The sequence below is a fragment of the Homo sapiens genome, chromosome 11 (assembly GCF_000001405.40).
Source record: "Homo sapiens chromosome 11, GRCh38.p14 Primary Assembly".
Lineage (NCBI taxonomy): Eukaryota > Metazoa > Chordata > Mammalia > Primates > Hominidae > Homo > Homo sapiens.
Genome location: NC_000011.10, coordinates 30225523 through 30241617, shown reverse-complemented (window position 1 = coordinate 30241617; position 16095 = coordinate 30225523). Strand labels below are relative to the sequence as shown.

The following is a 16095-nucleotide window of genomic DNA, read 5'->3' as shown; positions in this document are numbered from 1 at the left end:
TCGTTTGGAAAGGTAGCATTTTATCCTGGTGTGATATGAGTGTCTGGCTTCTTTAAAACCTTATTAGTAAACTGAGGGTCAAATTTTAAGTCCCAGCCCAACATTACCAAGTAATCTACATGGACCGCTGAAATACCCTCATGATAATGCTTGTAAAGAATGTTGGAGTATGGTAGATGGTACACAGGCTCTAAAGTCATGAGAACTCCCTGATCCTGGATTCCCCACTTAACAGCTCTGTGATACACTGTCTCAAGGATATGTACTTTATCAGCGGGACCAGTAGGAGGCACTAGCTTGCCTTTTTGTGTTGAGTATTTCATATGAAATAGTAGTCAGTGATTCCCTGAGCCACTTTCAGACAGAAAGAAGGAGGAAATTTTATTTAGGGAAATTCTCTCTCTCTCTCTCTCTCTCTCTCTCTCTCTCTCTCTCTCTCTCTCACACACACACACACACACACACTCCTCCAGGCAAAAACTTAAAGTACTAAATAACAAAGCTGTTTTGCGTATTTTAACAGAAGATTGTGATCTGGGTATATATGTATACATTATTAGATAACTAATTTTATACTTGGTTCATGTGAGTTGATCTGAAACATTATATTTAAGCTCCTTAAGTACTGTGGATCCCTACAATAGTTAAGGTAATATTACCTGCTGTAACAAATAAACCCCCAAGTCTCAGTGACTTAACACAAGAGAAATTTGTTTCTTGTTCATACAAAGTTCTTTCAGAGGGAACAGGTGTTTAGGCATGTTTGAGTCCTCTGGGCATTCTGAGATTTAGGCTGTAGAGCCTCTGCTGCTCTCTGTGCATGGCTTCCAAGGTTGCTTTAATCATTAGTACTCAGTCACCTGAGAGTAGAAGAGAGTACGATTTACCTGTCAGAGGATTTATGAGCCAGACCTAGAAGTAGCACACATCATTTCTGATAACCTTGGTTATTGGTAGAACTTGGTGACATAAATATACCTTTCTACAAGTGGGGCTGCAAACTATGTCCCCAGGAAAAATAGAGAAGGTTTCTGTGAACACGTAACAATCTCTGTCACAGTCCAACCTTCTGAGAACAAATATCAGTTTCATCTTTCTCTGTCATCTGGAACCACCTCCTCCCCTTCTTTAGTCCAATTCCAGGCCCTTAATACCCGGATGATACACAGTTTTCTTTATAATGTCCAAATGTGGCTTCTCATGAGCTGGCAACTCAACCTGTGGACAAAAAAGACTTGTTATCTTCCTTGTCCCTTTCCCCCCGGTATTCAGGGATGAAGTACGGACACTTTGCGCAATAACTCCGTTCACAATAATACTTCTATTCGTAAGAAGAAAGAATGGGAGACACAGCTCACTGGATTAAGCAATGATGAAACCCTACTGGGCAAACTTTATGAAATCCTTTTGCCAGGCCAGTGGAGGAAGTTCCTGGATTAGATGCTGCTGCTTCTCACTAGGGGCAACATTCTTCCCTTGTCCATTGTTCTCCATGGCTCCTGGCTCTATCATCTGGAAAGTTCTTCCTTATCCATTACCTTCCATGACCACATTCAAAGTGGATGTTGGAGAGTCATCCTCCTTGGTCTTGTACAGGTTTCGTAGTCTATTTTCTCCTCATCAAGTTTAGGAGCCCAAAGGTTGTTCAAAGAAAGGCATTTTTAGTCTGGTCTCCTAGTTTCTTTGACAATCAGCTCCTTCAGATATTTCCATTTAGTTTCTAGTGCCTATAAACATGTTAAAAGTTTTTTCTTATTCATAATTATCAATCTTGATTTTTTTTTTTGCTTCCTTACAACTTAGTAGTTCTACCATGATAGTACCTGAGATAGAAGATCTAGATGGGAAGACCATACCCTAAATCTGTCTTTACCTCAGAACCGAGTTTTAATGAGCCTTTGTTTTTCAAATCCATCTTATCTCTTACTATTTATTTGTTTTTCAAATCCGTCTTATCTCTTAGTATTCATTTGTTTTTCAAATCCATCTTATGTCTTACTATGTATTTGTTTTTCAAATCCATCTTATCACTTACTATTTGGGATGAGGAAGCAATAGACATTTACATACAATTGAGGCAAAAATTTCTGGACTTTCTCCATTCCATTTTGCAAAAAAGCTATCTCTTTAATATCTAGAAAGGAAAAGCCAACTCCCTTTACGTTCCGGTTCTTTGTAAGCCTTTCCCTTAGAGCAGAGGCTGGCAAATTTTTCTGTAAAGTTTCAAATTATATTTTATTTACATTGTGGGCCATATGGTCTTTGAATTCTGCTTTTGTAGTACAAAAGCAATCATAGACAATACGTAAAAAATTAGGGTGGCTGTGTTCCAATAAGCTTTGTTTAAAAAAAAAGGTGATGGGCCAGATTTGGCCTTCAGGGCATAATTTGCTGACCCTGCCATAAAGCTAAGGACTGAATAGGCATGTGGCCAGCCTTCATGTTTTCCCAGGTGAAAGTTGTACTCTTTTTTTTTTTTTTTTTTTTTTTGTGAGTCTCACTTTGTCCCTGAGGCTGAAGTGCAGTTGTGTCATCTTAGCTCATTGCAACCTCTGCATCCTGGTTTCAAGCAATTCTTAGGCCTCAGGCACGCACCACCACACCTGGCTAATTTTTTATATTTTTTGCAGAGATGGGGTTTCACCATGTTGGCCAGGCTTGTCTCGAACTCCTGGCCTCAGGTGATCTGCCCACCTTGGCCTCCCAAAGCGCTGGGATTATAGGCATGAGCCCCCATGTCCAGCCGAAAGTTGTACTCTTGAGAAATAATAACATTCTAAACCACTAACTGACAGAACAGATTCTTCTCTTGGCCAAGGGGACCCCATAGAAAACTTGGAAGCTAAGTTCATGGCATGATGGGATGGGAGGTCCGAAAGGCTTCATGATATTCCCTCCAAGCTCTTAGGCTTTCTTCCCTAAGAGCTAACTAGACACCAGCTTTTTCAAAAAAAGTCCACTCTGATAATATCTACTAGTTTATTTTCCCAGGTACAGAACAAAGAGAAGATGAGAGTAATCATTCCTTCACTCTACGCTGAGATGTCTGCTTCCTCCATTCCTATTTACTTTGTTCACCTTATCTTACATAAAATGTAGATTTACCGAGTACTAACTAAAATCTCACAAGTATGTAATCATTTGTCTCATTGCCGCACCGACTCCTCTACCTTTGTAAAAGAAAATGTATAAATATTAAACCTCCGAGAACCTCTTTGGAAAAACAGCCACAGATGTGTCTGTTACTTGAGTTTTTCCTGGATGCATCCTCAAACTGGCACAATAAACCTTGGTGACTGAGACGTGCCTTTCAATCACTCATTTTGGTTGCCACTATGATTACTACTTTCTTTTCTCCTATTGTACAACCACTAAGCCAATGCCATATGTGCTAAGGTTTTCATTAATGCAACACGCCACTTCCAGTACCAATATTTGTAAGTTAAAATAATGCATTTTTTAAAACGAATAAACTCACAAATGTCAGTGACTAGAAGTTTACGGTGTTGATGCATAGCATCCACACAGCCTGCTATAAGGGGTTGTTGATATTGGGCACACTGCTCCATGCAGACATTCGGGGATCCAGGTTGACAATGGTTCTGTTTTCATCAACACAAACTTTCCTAGTCACCTTCAGGATTGACATCCAGCAAATAGAGGAAGAGAATAGATGATCACTTATGAGAGGTTTTTATGGGCTGTGTGTGAAAATATGTGCAGTACTTCTGCCCACATTCCATTAGCTGGCACACAGATACACTTGATTGCAAAGAAGGTGGGAAAATGTTGTCCAGCTTTATACCCAGGAAGACATAGGCACATATCTTCGTAAGTAGATTTGAATTCTCTACCTCTGTCACTAAATGCATACTAATGATTGAGGCTTTGCACACTAGCTGTGTGACTTCAGACTAGGCTCCGGGCCCATTTCACTTTTCTTATATTAGGCATAAAATCTAAATTAAATGTACAGTGCATAAAAAGATGCCATGTTAGTTGTCAACTAGTAAACACTGAACATGCCTACAGGAATATAGTAAACACCTGTACAGCAGTCTCCTAGTTTTTTATATATTAACATTATATCATATTTGTAAGAAATAGAACATTATAAATACAGTTTGAGGCTCTCTGGGTACTTTTCCACAGTTCCATTTCTCCTTCACCTTCCTCACTACCATGAACTCAGTGTTTATTATTCTTATGTACTGGCCTCACATTTTTATGATTCAAGTGCTGCTGACTTACTGACCAGTTTTCAATTATAGTCCACCAAATATCTCATGGGATGAATGGCATGGTATTTTAGTTAAAGCATTTCAGGAATGGAAGGCCCCCAATCCTTCAATCCTCAAAACTAATCTCTAGATTCAGCAACCCTTGTGGGGAGCGGAAGAGGTAAGAAGTTAAATAATCAGAGGTCAGACCATGATAGGCCTCATGTTTCAGCTAAGAATTAAGATTTTTTTTCCTGAAAACAATTGGAAAGCTCATTAATTAATTGGCATGGTCAAAGTTGTGGTTTAGACACAATTTTTTTTTTTTTTTTGAGACTGAGTCTCGCTGTGTTGCCCAGGCTGGAGTGCAATGGCGCGATCTCGGCTCATTGCAACCTCTGCCTCCCGGGTTCAAGTGATTCTCCTGCCTTAGCCTCCTGAGTAGCTGGGATTACAGGCATGCACCACAATGCCCAGCTAATTTTTGTATTTTTAGTAGAGATGGGGTTTCACCATGTTGGTCAGGCTGGTCTCGAACTCCTGACCTGGTGATCTGCCTGCCTTGACCTCCCAAAGTGCTGGAAATACAGGCATGAGCCACCACACCCGGCCTAGACATACAATTCTTAAAGTCATGCGAGGACTGCCCAGAGCCAAGAGATGTCCACCATAGTGCTGAGAAGGGATTATCAGACTTCAACTAAAATGACAGCCCATGGAGATGGACCTTTTCTTGGCCTCCACCTGGAGGGTTCACAGGTTTTTGTTGCTGCTCCAGAAAGGAGTGTACTCCTATTTGGCATGGGAGTGCCGTAAGAAGAAACTTCTGCTTTTTACTCGCATTTTGACCTTGGCCATTTGAACTAAGTGGTAAAGGGGACTCTCTCCAGCAGGATTATAGCTCTGTTGGCCTCTGAAGTGCTTTAACTGCATTATATTTTTAAATCTGCCAGCAACTATGTGAGATAGTTACCATTTTTACTCCATTTTAAAAGTGAGAAAGGTGAGACCCAAAGGGGTTAACTAGTTTGCTCAGACCAGAAAGAGTATGAGCTGGGTTGTCCTTAACTTAAATCTGACTTTACCATTTTACTGCATTGTCTCTCTCAAGGGACAACCATCAACTAATATTTATTGAGGAATTACTATGTGCCAAGTACTGCTCTAAGCCCTTTTATCTGTTATTTCATTAATCATGAACACAACTCTCTAAAGCAGGAAATATTATTATCCCCATTATACAGTTGAGGAAACTGAGGTCCAGAGAATTTAAGTAACTTGTTCGAGATGACACATCTGCTTAAGATGATTGAGACAACATAAATCTGAAGCCATTGTCCTTTACTCTCCCTAATGTAAAGGTTTATTATTTTGGTCTGCAAAACTACAGGAAGAAGGAAAAGGCTATAATTTAAAGCATCTTATTCAACATTGTTAATATAGCCCTAATTTCAATGCATTGCTATAAGCCACACCCAATACCAGATTAGAAGGGACAGAGATGATTATTATAATAATATCTGTAGTTTTGCTTCAATCTTTACCAAAATGACTTCTTATTATGGTGGAGTAGTCAAAGGAGAGCCGGATTAAGAGCAAGGAGGCTAGGATTCTAATCCTGGCTCTGCCACAAACAGTCTTTGTGATTGCTGTGGTCTGAACGTTTATGTTGCTCCAAGATTCATGTTGAACCCTGATCTTTATTGTGGTGGTATTAAGAAGTTGGGCCTTAGGAGGTGATTAGATCATGAAAATGGACCTCTTATGTATGAGATTAGTGCTCTTATAAAAGAGACTTGAGGGAGCTTTCCGTTGTTTCCACTGTATGAGGATGCAGCAAAAAGTCACCAGCATTGAAGTAGGGAGCAGGCCCTCCCTCCCCAGACAAGAAATCCGCTGGCACCTTGATCTTGGACCTCCCAGCCTACAGACTGTGAGCAATAAATTTCTGTTGTTTATTAATTACCCAGTCTAAGGTATTCTGTCATAGCAGCCCAAAAGGACTAGGACAGTGATCTTGGGTGGGCCACTTAATATCACTGGGCTTTAATTTTTCCATCTCAAAAATTCAAGAAGTAAACTATAGAAACTCTAGTATCTCCACCCATTCTGTGATTCTCTCTATGCTTTTTTTCTCCCAAATTACATCAGAAAATGTCTTCAAAAAATGACAGGAAATTTAAGTGACAAAACACTTCAGAAATCCAACAAAATTATTTTTAATATCTCCAAAGATAAGGAAAGGTAATATTTATAGAAACACTGGGAATTATATTTTAAGATTTCATTCCACTAATATTATAAAATACAGAATATCTAAGTCATCTGTTTGTACATAAAACAATCCAAGCCTGTGACTCTGGTGGCTAGCATCTTTATTAAAAAAATAAGATTTAAATAAATTAGTTAAACAATATGAGTGTGAAACTGAGTGCATAACTAAGACAGTTAACACGTTTAAAAGAAATCAACTCATGAAATAGTTTTAATATATAACCTGTTGAAAGAAAGCACAGATTTGGGAGAACATGGATGGATAAAATAGAAGATTGATGTAGACAGGATCCTAGAAAACAGCAGTTTCCCCTCGTCCCCCATGGCTAATTCTTTCTAAAGGAGCTATTTATTTATACAAATATATTTGTAGACAAATTAATTATATTTATTAAATTGCTGAAACTGCTTTCAAACCTACTTTCAAATCCTTTGTCATTCCAAAGAAGTGGATCCTAGGGAGGGTAGGGTGAGATAGTTTGGTTTTTTCCCTTTATCTCAAAAAGGAGTTTTGCAGGAGCCTAGTAGCATGTGATCAATTTGTTTAAGTAATGAATAGAGGCAGGCTAATTTCCACAGCCCCAAATTACAATTTCTTGCCTTTGCCCTTAACTAACAGGCTTGGTAGTAATAGCTTGGAAATCTTGAGCTCTGTTACTCCCCATCTGTACCAAACAATTCAGAAAGATACATCATGTCTCAATACTCCATGTGCTGGAGAAAAGGCGAGGTGGAACTGATGCCACTAACTTTCATGGGACTGGTGTGGCTGCGGGCAGCCTCATCAGCTTACCTCAAACATCGTCTTCCAGTATTTTCTACCCTTGACCTTTCTGATCTAAAGAAGTCATTGTTGTGTTTCTAAGTTCCAGGCAGAGTGCTAGGCATTGACGCTACAATGCTGAAGATGCTGACCTTGCTCTAGAGGGCCCAAGAGTCTACCAGAAGACTGCTGCAGTTAGTTCTTTCACTCACTCCCATTACTGCTTCCTCCTTCTAGGCTTATGTTTCCCCCTAAGAGAGAGGCATTGCCTGAGAAGATTTCTAAGATTTTTAAAGAAGAAACCAGGCACAAGTCTGTGAGTTAAGACTGAATAAACCTTATGAAATCAGACCTAGGAATATAGAGCTGAATCATGATGGAGTCCTGGCCCCCAGCACTCTCAATTCCCAGAGTTCCCTCTGCCAGTAGACCAGGGATCAGTAGAGTCTGAATCCCCTGATCCAGTGGTTTGTCCCCTGGGCACATTGCACACACACAGACTTTTTGAATATCTTGGTCCTTCAGGACAAGGGTATGTGGCCTGAAATGTCCACTGATCTTTATTCTTTCATTTCACCAAAGGAGCAGTAGCTGGGCCCCAGGCCTCGCACAGTACAATCAGTGCTGTCGCTGTCACACTTGCCACAGTGACACTGGGTGGCCACTGGGTATGTATACAAGGAATCTGCATGGTGAGCACAGCCGGGCACTCTCACTGTTTCGTATACCAGTTCCTTGAAGGTACATGTTTTCTGGATTTTGGGCCTGGCTGGGTCCTTATACACCAGATCCTGAGGAGTTTAAGAAGAGAGTTAGGTTATGGTATTGTGGAAGTTCCTATTTAGCTTAGTCAAAATGAGACAGAAATTGAATACTGCTTGCTCTAACATTTACCCATTAAAACATGACCTCATAAATGACCTATATGCTATTTACATTTCTAAATTGTTCTTGAAATCTTCCAGAAAATACAAGTAATTTCTTTTCTTACTTCCTATGGCTATATCAAAATATTAACTATTTTTCAAAATATAAAGGAACTTTGAATTTTAGCATAGAAAAATGATGAAAAACATGACAGGATTTTAAGTTGACTTTTCATATTTAATTGAAAGCTGTATTAATAACAAACCATAAACAAAGATATCCAATGTCTCAGAAAAAATATTTTAAAATACACTGCCCTGAGTATTTATAAAAGGTCAAAAATATATAATTTTAAATTTTAATGCTTAAGTTAACATGTTTGCTAAGGCTAACATAAGATTTTAAATATTCCAACTCCTTGTGGACATTTTTCTCCCTTGAAAGCTGTATACTTTGCAGGGTTCCTAGTTTCAAAGGATATGCAGTTTGCATATAAGAATTTTTAATCCAGGTAGAAATTATTTGTAGTAGCACTTTCCAGTGGAAAAATTATTTATACTGCGTAGAGAAATTGGGGCTTCTGTTTATTTTAATATCATCCTACCAAATGTATATCCCAAGAAGGTGCAATAAATTGTGTAATAAATGGAGTTTGATCAAACTCATTTACCGTCAAATAAAGTATCGTTCATTTAAAAAGTTGCCATTTTCAATTTTAGTTTATAGAATGAAATTCTGCATAGATAATTAGGGGTGCTGCAGAGAAAAAAGAAAGCACCATGGAAACTATTTCTCTACTTGTATTAATGCAAGGAAACTGCAAACACAGACTAGCAACTGATGCCTCTATGTCTTGGTTTTCTCAATGCTATAACGAAGGGAGTGGGTTTGCTGATTCATTTTTGTTCTAACAGTCTGCAAGAATTGATTGTGTTCTCAGGCTGTTTTTTGGCATTTGTATTTAGTAGGGCCAGGAAGACAATTTTTTTAAGTGGCTGTCTATGTTTTTATGTGACTTGGAGACATATTTTGGTGTGATTTTGTGTCAAAGATGTAGTGTCAGTTAAAGAAATTGCCTTTATGAGAATATTATAGGTCCTTTATGATTAAATATATGTATGTTTCCATGTTTATCTCTCTATGTGTAAAAACGTAACATAGAAATACTTTTTCCCTGTAGATGCAAAGTTGGACTAGTACCAAATTGATCAGATTAAATCTGAGGCTTTCCTAAATTTACCCAAATCAAATCCAAGCCCAAACATCTAAGTGATATCGTGGTCATTAACCCCAATCACAACACAGACAGTCTTGGCTAAAGGACTCATGGCTGTTACTTAGAATACATAAAATATTGATAAAGTAGAAACTAATGAAACCGGCCTAATACAGACCTTCAACACCCTTGCTTCCAGCAAAACATGGTACCTACCCTGGTGTAGCAGTAGCCAGCACACCAAGTGGTGTTGATGCTTATGCAGAAACGACATTCTTCTTTCTCTATTGCAATGGTGATGTTGGTCAGCTCACAGCTATTGCAGCAGATTGCTTTCCAGCAACAGAAAAGGAAGAAAAACTGGAGTGTCTTCATCCTGGTCTGGGAAGCAAACAATGAAGCCCACTAGAAACTGAGAAACCAAAGAACGATAATCATTATGTAAGCTGACCAAACCAAAAATAATTGGTCTGCTCATCCTCCTCAATCACATTTTGCTTCAAAAGTTTTTTTTCCTTCCTTATGCCTTTTTACTTACATCTTTGTTTCTTGGAACAACATTTTTCCTTGTCCTTCTTCAATTTTTGGGTCAGGGTGGGAATATATTATAGATCAAAACTCCAATATAATGATTTAAGCAGAGGAATATTTAAAGATTAGAATCTTATTGCTGACTGTCATAAAGTAATTACTCTGATAATTGTGATCATCATATTTGTTCTTCCATTATTATTTTAAAGTCTATTTTTGTCTGAAAAGAAAAATAAAATTCTTTTCTTTTCTTGAGACAGGGTCTTGCTCTGTTGCCCAGGCTGGAGTGCAGTGGTATAATCATGAATCACTGCATCTTCAACCTTCCAGGCTCAAGCAATCCTCTGACCTTGGCCTCCCAAAGTGCTGGGATTACAAGCATGAGCCACCATTCCTGGCCAAGAAAATTCTATACTACAAAATTATGTCTTCATTTTTAGAATCTCATAAATATTTTCTTTTGCTCACATTTGTTTAAAATAAGACCATTTCAGAAGAGAGGCATATTGGTCTATAAAGTCAGTTACTTGCTAACAGTGATTACGTTATATTAACCATATTTTACAAGCCAGGTTGACAAGCATAAATTTCCTACACAACAGTAGTGAGAAGCTCTAGTTTTGTCCTCCATGTCCTGACAAATCTGTAATTTCAAAAGTAGCTGTCACCACTTGAAAACGGTAGATGCCAAGACTCACCTGTGGTCGGCTGCCTTGCCTGGCAAGAGCTGTAGACTGAATGAAATCTCAGTTCACCTTTTATACAAAATCATGTGCAACTAACACCTTGTGGATTTGTTGGGTATTAATATGACCAATGCTAGCCTGAAGCTTGCTGTAAGTGAATCAGTGTTTAGATAGACAGGGAGATCAAGCTTTACTAAAGTAGTCTAAACGCAGTAGATTAGAAAAAATAATGTTACTAGAGATGATGATTTTGTACAAATTAAATTTGATACAGTAGCACACCCACTCCTTTACCTTCTCAAATTAATTGTGACTCCAGATTTTTCTTTTGTATCTTTAAATCAGGAAATTCAGAGTCCTTTCCAAGTATTGCTTTGACTCTGTTCAGGAGATGCATTAAAAAATATGGTTAATAAATTGCTCCAAGAGCATATCAAAAGCTGTGAAGGAAGAAACAAACAAAGAGAAAACATTTCATGATCTGGCTCCTGTCTAAAGTGTGAACTGTATCTCTCTTTCCCTCCCACATTCTGGCCCCCTAATCACAAATCTTTATTTTTTGATGTTTTAGCAAGAACTTTCTACTTTACTTGTAATTCCATAAATATGTTGCTGATTCATATCTTTAGATCTTTGCATGTAATGTTCTTCCTGCCTGAAATGTCCTTGCTTCCTCCCTGCCTCCTCCAACACCACCCTGAACCCTGGCAAATTCCTCAACCTTCAACATCCAGGGGAGTTTCACCTGTCAAAGTTTAGGATGGGAGGTGAGGGAGAACCATAATCACTACCTTCTGTGTGTAACCATTTATAGGCTCTTGTTTCCTCCAATAAACTATGATCTCTTTGGAGACTAGGATTGCTTTGTTTAATAAATATTTACTAATCAAACAGTGTGACTGGAGCAAAAGGACAACAGCAGTAATATTAGAATATGATGTCAGAGAGATAACAGGAGTCAAATGTTGGAACTTGTAGACCAGTGTAAGGGCTCTGGTTTGTACTCTTTGTGTAATGGGACCCATTGAAGGATTTTAAGTAGAGGAGTGACGTGACATGATCTGATTGAGTTCTAAAAGGACTCCTCTGACTGCTGTGTTGCTAATATAGGGGAACCAAGAAACAGGAAGACCCGTTAGGATGCTATCAATAACCCAGGTGAGAAATGATGTTTGTTCAATAACCCAGGTGAGAAATGATGTTTGTTCAGACTAGTATGGTAGCTATTGGAGGTAATGAGACATGCTCTGACTCTGTATGCATTTTGAAAGTAGAACCAACAAAATTTTCTGATGGATAGATGTTGAGTGTGAGAGGAGGAAAAGGGTCAAGGATGGCTCTAAAGATTCTGGTTTGAGTAGCTGGAAGGATAAACTTGCTATCAGCTGAAAGGGGATGGCTGTAAATGTCGAAGTTTGGGAAAAGGAAATGGAGTTCAGTATGCACATGTTGAGCTTGAGTTGTTTGTACTACATCCAGGAGATAATGAAGTTTCTTTTTCCTCTTTCCAAAGGAGACTGAGGAGGGCCATTGAGGAAAGTAGGAATGGGGAGAATATGGTGTCCCAAAAGCCAAATAAAGAGAGCATCTCAGGGAGGAGCCAGTGACACCTGTGTCAGATACTGCTGACAGGTTAAGTAAGATGAGGATCAAGAACTTCACAATGCATATGCGATGTAAAGTTCGCTACTGTCCTTGGCTGTAAAAGTTACTTTGGAATGATGAAAACAAAAACCTGATTGGTATGTGTTTAAGTGATTTGGAGGAGATAAGTCATAGTGAATATAGACAATTTTTCCAAGAGCTTTTTTTTACAAAGATCAATAAAGAAATGGGTATTTGGTTAATGTGGATGTTGGGTAAAAATAACTTTCTTTTGTTTTATTTTTATTTTTTATTTTTGAGATGGAGTCTCACTCTGTCACCCAGGCTGGAGTGCAAGGGCACAATCTCGGCTCACTGCAACCTCTGCCTCCCGGGTTCAAGCCATTCTCTGGCCTCAGCCTCCCAAGTACCTGAGACTACAGGCATGTGCCACCATGCCTGGCTAATTTTTGTATTTTTAGTAGAGATGGGTTTCACCATGTTGGCCAGGCTGGTCTTGAACTCCTAACCTTAAGTCATCCAACCCTCCTTGGCCTCCCAAAGTGTTGGGATTACAGGCGTGAGCCACCGTGCCTGGCCGCAGACAATTTTCTTTTGATTTTTAACTTTAAGATGGGAGAAATAAACACGTTTGTATGGTGATAGGAATGATTGAGTAAAGTGGAAAAAGTTGGTATCAGAAGGAGAGAGAAGTTCTGAAGTGTACTTGAAGAGGTAAAAGGAAATGGGTTATAGAAGAGGAGTGGAAGCATTGTCTTTAGGCAGAACCATGGAGAGCTCATCCCGTATTAGGCAAGAAGGCAGAGCTTGATGGTGCAGATGCTAGCGAGTGGGCAAGTGTGATGGATGCAGACTCTGGTGGGTGAGGAGGGGTTGTGGGTGCAGATGCTGGTGGGTGGAGAGGTGGTGAGTGAAGATGCTGGTAGGTAGGGAAATGTGGTGGGTGCAGATGCTTGTGGATGGGGAGGAGTGATGGGTGCAGATGGTGATGGCTGGAAGGTGTGGTGAGTGTACATGGTGGTGGGTGGGCGGTGTGGTGGGTGCAGATGCTGGTAGGTTGGGAGGGGTGGTTGGTATAGATAATGGTGGGTGGGGAGGGGTGGTGGGTGCAGATGCTGGTGGGTAGAGGAAGGTGGTAGGTATAGATCTGTACCTACCACACTTTGCCTGTTAACAGCAGGGGTTCAGGCACGTGGGTTACCAAAAGTTGGATTCATCTAGGATTATGATTTTATAAAATATGTTTGACAAAGACAAAACTTAGCATAGCAGTACACATTGTAAGTACCAAATCAATATTTATGTAAATGAATATTGTGAGTATAGAAATATTTTGAAATCTGTCAGTAATTGGTAAGCAAGCATATTTCCAAGTTATAGAATGAATAAATTTTATATTATGTATATTAAATAAAAATACTAATGATTCTTGGAAAATTATAAATCTTTTCATTTTTTCCAAAGGAATGCTAACATTACTATATCTATTGCTAATACCTTGTATTATGAAAGAAAACAAAGTTTTTCATATTACCTATGTATAATCACAAGATTTATTTGTGTGAATGTAAATGAACCACTTTGTTTTAATGACTAATATGTACATAGTATTAGTTCCTTAAATTCATTTTTAAAATATTAATATTAATAGCTTCTTTTTCATTGAGTACCTCCTATGTCCCAGGTGAAACTGCCTTTGCAAAGGTTATGACAGTGAGATAAATCTAGCATGGCTGACTCCATCTTGCCTCTAGCCTCACAGGCTGGCTGTTCTCACTCATTCTTAGGTGTAGGCCAAGCTAACCATGGGAGGAATTTAGTTTATAGTTTAACGAAGCAAGGATAATAGTCCTATCCTAAAACTAACCCCCTCCTTGCTCAGGGACTGAAAATGGCCTTTCTAAACAAATGAAATGCTGTGAGATTAGGATTATGGGGGGACCTGAATTCTGATAAGATATAGGCATGGTTTTTATAATCCCTTACTAGTTCAGGAGTTATGTGTCCAGAGGTCACAAGATTTGTTACTTCCCCAATTGCTCCTATAGATAATATCATTATTGTGGAGCCTACAGTTGATCATTTGAGACATTTTTCAGGCTTTTGCATTCTGGCAACAAACTGACTCCACTTGGACGCATGCTTCATGACTCAACTGGTCGTGTGGCCTACACCCGGAAGCAGACTCAATGAAGGAGGACAGTTTTCCACAATCTTACTATTTCATTCCCCAACCAATCAGCAGCACCCATTCCCTAGTCCCCTGCCCACCAAATTATCCATAAAACCCTAGCCTCTGAGTTTTCAGGGAGACTGATTTGAATAATAACTCCAGTCCTCCCGTTTGACCTACATTAATTAGATTTGTTCTTTGCTGCAATTCCATGATTTCAGTGAATCAGTTTTGTCTGTGCAGTGAGCTAGAAGAGCACATTGGACAATTACACAGGCATTTAACTAAACATGTTAAATAGAAGTTCATATACAATATTTACAATAACACAATAACCTTTTTTTTTTTAGACAAGGTCTCACTGTGTCACCCAGGCTTGAGTACAGTGGTACAATCTTGGCTCACTGCAACCCTCTGCTTTCCAGACTCAAGTGATGCTCATGCCTCGGCCTCCCAGGTAGCTGGAATTCCAGGTGTGTGCCACCACACCCAGCAAAATTTTTTAAATTTCTTTTTGTAGAGACAGAGTTTCACCATGTTGGCCAGGCTAGTTTCCAACTCCTGGCCTCAAGTGATCCACTAGCCTCCGCCTCCCAAAGTGCTGCGATTACAGGCGTGAGCCACTGCACCCAGCCTACAATAACCTTTTAAAGAAGTTACTGTTCTTCTTTGAAAGATGAGAAAACTGAGGATAAATGCAACCTGTAAGTAGCAAAGCTGGGGTTCATATTCAGGTCAGTTTGACTCCAAAGCCAGGGGACTATTCATTGAGCCATGGTGACCTCAGTGGTCTACAGTTCTCATCAATCCCATTAATTGGAGAGACCCCAAGACAGAAATCATCCAAAGTTTGGGCCACTATTCTAAATGCCCATATTTATATTTCCACCTGCAGTTAGGTCAGAGATTCCCACAAACAGCTCTGAATTTGGCCTGTCAAGAGGCCCCCAGACCTTTCTCTCAATTCTAAGCCTCTTATGGCTAGCTCATCTCATTAGCATATTTGCTAGTTAATGCCATTACTCTCATTGAGGTTTTTGAAATATTTTATTGATAAAAATTTAGAGTTCTTTTTTATTCACCTTTGAATTCCCCAAAATAAATAGAATTTCTGTTACATAATAGTTACTGAAATACTTTTCTTGAACCAAATGAAAAAAGAAATCACTCATCATTTCTTTTATGTTGGGTTGGTCCATAGCCTGTTTGCTATCAAATGCATTCCTTGTTTTTGCTTGGTTTTGTGCTCTGTTTTGTGGGAGAAAGGACCTTGGCAGGCTGCTTTTCCCACTCTGCTGTATTAGCAGGTTTTTGCCTTTGTGAATGGAGATTGGAAAGTGAATGCAAGGAAGCAGTTGGAGTATTTCTCTCTACCTTTTACATTCTGCTTCCCTTCCTGGTAGTGACTGCATGATCTCCCTGGCTCCAGATCCCATTGGACAGCTCCTCCTGGTGGTCCCAGCTTTTGTGAGGAAACCCCAGCTGTGGTTTGAGCTTCTGCTAGGTGGTCTCACCTTCTGGCTTCTGGGAACCCCACCTATGTCCCTCCAATCCTGCACATAAATGGAGCTTGTCACTAATACTTATCTCTGATTGCCTCATATTCCCTGTCTGGCTTTTCAGCAATCTAATACTTGAGCAACCAAATCTCTGGATTAATGAATTCCCTGATTTTCCTCTATTTTGCATATCAGGTGTGATTTCTGTTTTCCTGACTAGAAACTGGCTGATACACCTTCCTTTATTTCTAGAAAATATTC

At 39.3% G+C, this 16095-nt stretch overlaps 1 protein-coding gene and 1 long non-coding RNA gene across 10 annotated transcripts in view; one reads left to right on the top strand and one right to left on the bottom strand.

Annotated features, from left to right (window-relative positions):
- The window catches only part of ARL14EP-DT (ARL14EP divergent transcript), a 279977-nt gene that overhangs the window by 81329 nt on the left and 182553 nt on the right, over positions 1-16095 (top strand). The gene's annotated exons all lie outside the window — the stretch shown is intronic.
- FSHB (follicle stimulating hormone subunit beta) lies at positions 6424-10604 on the bottom strand. 3 transcript variants are annotated; one of them, NM_000510.4, is made up of 3 exons: positions 10540-10604; positions 9557-9721; positions 6424-8048 (listed from the first exon to the last, which is right to left on the bottom strand). In NM_000510.4, exons 2-3 carry the CDS (start codon positions 9713-9715, stop codon positions 7818-7820), a joined length of 390 nt encoding a protein of 129 aa, NP_000501.1. In that variant the 5' UTR covers positions 9716-9721; positions 10540-10604; the 3' UTR covers positions 6424-7817. The 3 variants fall into 3 exon arrangements, with proteins under 3 accessions (NP_000501.1, NP_001369218.1, NP_001018090.1); NM_001382289.1 differs by having other exon boundaries at positions 9557-9752; positions 10570-10604; NM_001018080.3 differs by having other exon boundaries at positions 10570-10604.